Below are 3411 nucleotides of genomic sequence, written 5' to 3' on the forward strand. Positions count from 1 at the left end.
TATTTGGAAACACGGCATTTGGAGATAGAACCAAGTCAAGAATCTCAAGGTGAGATCATCCTGGAATAGGTTGGGCCCTAAATGCAATGTCAGGTGTCCTTCTATGAGACATAAGAAGAGACACAGATACAGAGGAGAGGTTCACAGGGATATTTAGGCAGGGACTGCAATGATTCACCTAAGGTCCAGGAATGCCAAGGATTGCTGCTGGCTACTGGAAGCTAGGGAGAGGCCAACAAGAGAACTAGGAGATCAAAAATAACTTACTTTTACATTTAAAAATAACTAAAAGAGTATAATTGGATTATTGGCAACACAAAGGGTAAATGCTTGAGGGGCTGGATACCCCATTCTCTGTGATGTGATTGTTATGTATTGCATGCCTGTATCAAAACATTACAGATATCCCATAAACATATACACCTCCTATGTACCCACAAAAATTATCAATAACAAATTCTGAAAAAAACAGAACTGGGAGTTAATACATTTATGTTGCTTTCAGCCACCCAGTAGGAGGTAATTTTTTCTAATTTTTTTTTAATTGTCATTTTTGGACAGGCACGGTGACTCACGCCTGTAATCCCAGCACTCTGGGAGGTGGAGGCAGGCAAATAACCTGAGGTCAGGAGTTCATGACCATCCTGGCCAAGATGGTGAAACTTCCTCTCTACTAAAAACACAAAAATTAGACAGGCATGGTGGCACATACCTGTAATCTCTGCTACTTGAGAGGCTGAGGGATGAGAATCATTTGTACCCAGGAGGTGGAGATTGAGTGAGCCGAGATCAAGCCACTGCAACCCAGCCTGGGTGACAGAGTAAGTGTCTCAAAAAAAAAATGTCATTTTATAGCTCTCCACTGCAGCTGTCCCCCACCCTTCCCTTTGATGATCACTTTTGCAGGCTTCAGCGGTACCAGGGAAAAAGTTGGGGCCTGGCAGCCCCACTATACTGCCAGCCAGGGAGAACAAGTCACAATTACGAATTATCACAATAATTAGTGTCTGTTCTTGGGGTATCTGCAAAGTGTGCAAAGTGAGGAGGCCCCAGCTCCCCCTCACGTAGGTGCCCATTTGGCAGGGAGCTTGCTTTAGAGACAATGATATTCCTTCAGCCTGATGGAATTGATGTTGATGAACCTGGTGGCATTAATTGGCTCCTAATCGCCCTGCACATTCATGCTCACCAGCTCCTCATTTTAGAGAGACAGTGGGGACTCCTGTCTGAGTATGTCCACCTGGCTCTTGAAGACAGGCACCTGCACTTTCCCTTCCACTCACTCCTGGGACTTGGTGATGCAGTGGTGGACAAATTCACATTCAGGGCTGTGCCAGAAACTGGTGTACACCAGCTCAGCAAATTTCACGCCCAGGCCTTGTTTGATTTTGCACTCTTCCTGATTCATGGTGAAGGCCTCGATGTGTAAATGAGCATAGTAAAGGATGATGCCAGCTAGGGTCTTGTAGATGCCTCAGGACTTCATTGCAATGAAATGGTTCTCCACGATGTCAATATGGCCCAGGCCATGCTTGCTCGCAGCTTCGTTCAGGTACACGCAGAGCTCCTAGGAGGTCTGGTGGGTGGCGCCATCCTTGACGTTGGTCACCTTCACGGGGACCTCTTTTTTGAACTCAATCTAGAGAATGTCAGGGGTGTTGGGGGCTTTGGTCAGGTCCTTAGTCTTTGTGTAGAGACCTGGAGGTGCTTATGGTACTTGTGTTTCTCCAGGATTCCAGCCTCATAGCTGATACACATGAGGTTCTCGTCCATGATCCACGGGTTCTTGAGAGTGACTGGGATGGGAATCCGATGTTGCTTTGTGTATTCCATCAGATCATTGCAGCCATTGAGCCAGTAGTAGAACTCGGGCATCCTCCAGGGAGCAATGACCTTAATCTGGGGGCCAGTGAGCAGGTGAGCTCAAACTGGACCTGATCGTTCTCCTTTCCCATGATGCCATAGGATACGTACTTGGCCCCCTCCTGCTGGGTAATTTCCACTTGTTTGTGGGCGATGCAGAGCCTAGCCAGAGAGGTGCCCAGGAGGTAGTAGTCCTCATACAGGGCGCTGGACTGGATGGCCGGCCAGATGAACTCCTCCACAAACTCCCTGCTGACTTCCTCAATGAACACCTTTTTGGCCCCAAGCTTGCATGCCTTCTTCCTGTCTTTCTCGAAGTCTTCCTTCTGGCCAATGTTGGCCAGGTAGGCAATGACAACATGTCCTTGTTCCTTCAGCCACACAAGCATGCAGGAGGTGTCCAGGCCACCACTGTGGGCCAGAACCATGGATCCTTTGCTGGACATAGCATCTGGGATTGGAGGTGCGAGTTCCCTGCATCTGAAATCTGTCTTCACGGTGCAGTAAACCACTTGCGCCCCGTGCAACAGAAGCAGGTGACAGAGCAAGAGGAGGTAATTTTTTTACAGCAGCTATACCAAACTAATACTGTTCAGTTTAGCAGCAACACCAAAATCAATGAGGAATATCAGGATGGTTAGCACACTGACCAGGAGTTTGGGTCAGCACTGACTCCAGGCCCATGAGCCATGCTCAGACACTGTGTGGAGAGTGTTGTGGTGTACACTGAAGGAGTTTTGAACTCTCCTTTGGAGCACCAGCCTTGGTGTGGCTGTCAGATGTGCTTGGATTCAGTGCCTATCAGCTGAGGAGCTGAGCCTATTGAGAATTCTGTGTGTCAAAATTGGTCAGCATTTGAGGCAGTTCTGGGCTATCAGGGGGAGACAAGATTCCATGGCAGACACGAGCCAGAGTCGAAGAGAGAAAGTCATAGGAGGCAAGATAATGGCCTCTGAAAGAGGGCCACATCCCAATCTCCTATGAATATGGTACCCTGCAATGGAGAAAGGGAATACAGGTTGCAGATAGAATTAAGGTGGTTAACTCACTCGACCTTAAAACTGGGAGATTGTTTTTGATTATTCAGGCTGGGCCCAATCTAATTGCAAGAAGTCAGGCTGGATTCAGGACCCTAAATGCAATGACAGGTGTACTTGTAAGAGACAGAAAAGGACACACAGACACAGAGGAGAAGGCCACTTGGAGACAGAGGCAGAGACTGGAATGATGTGGCCACAAGCCTAGAGATACCTGGAGCCCCCAGGACCTGGGAGAGGCAGGAAGTGTCCTCCCCTAGAGCCTCCAGAGGGAACTAAGTACACCTGTAGTAGTTTAAACTGTCCTTAGAGTCCTTAAAAGTAGAGAAAATTCAAGGCCAGCCTGGGCATCATAGCAAGACATTGTCTCTACTGAAAAGAAAAAAAAGAAAAAAAAAGAAGCCAGATATGGAGGCGCACACCTGTAATATCAGCTATTCTTGATCCCAGGAGTTGAAGGCTGTAGTGAGCTATGACCATGGTGCTGCACTCCAGCCTGGATGATAGAGCA

The 3411-nt window shown here is 47.8% G+C and overlaps 1 pseudogene; it reads right to left on the reverse strand.

Annotated features, from left to right (window-relative positions):
* Positions 825-2318, reverse strand: ASS1P6 (argininosuccinate synthetase 1 pseudogene 6; annotated as a pseudogene).

Source organism: Homo sapiens, chromosome Y (genome assembly GCF_000001405.40).
Source record: "Homo sapiens chromosome Y, GRCh38.p14 Primary Assembly".
Classification (NCBI taxonomy): domain Eukaryota; kingdom Metazoa; phylum Chordata; class Mammalia; order Primates; family Hominidae; genus Homo; species Homo sapiens.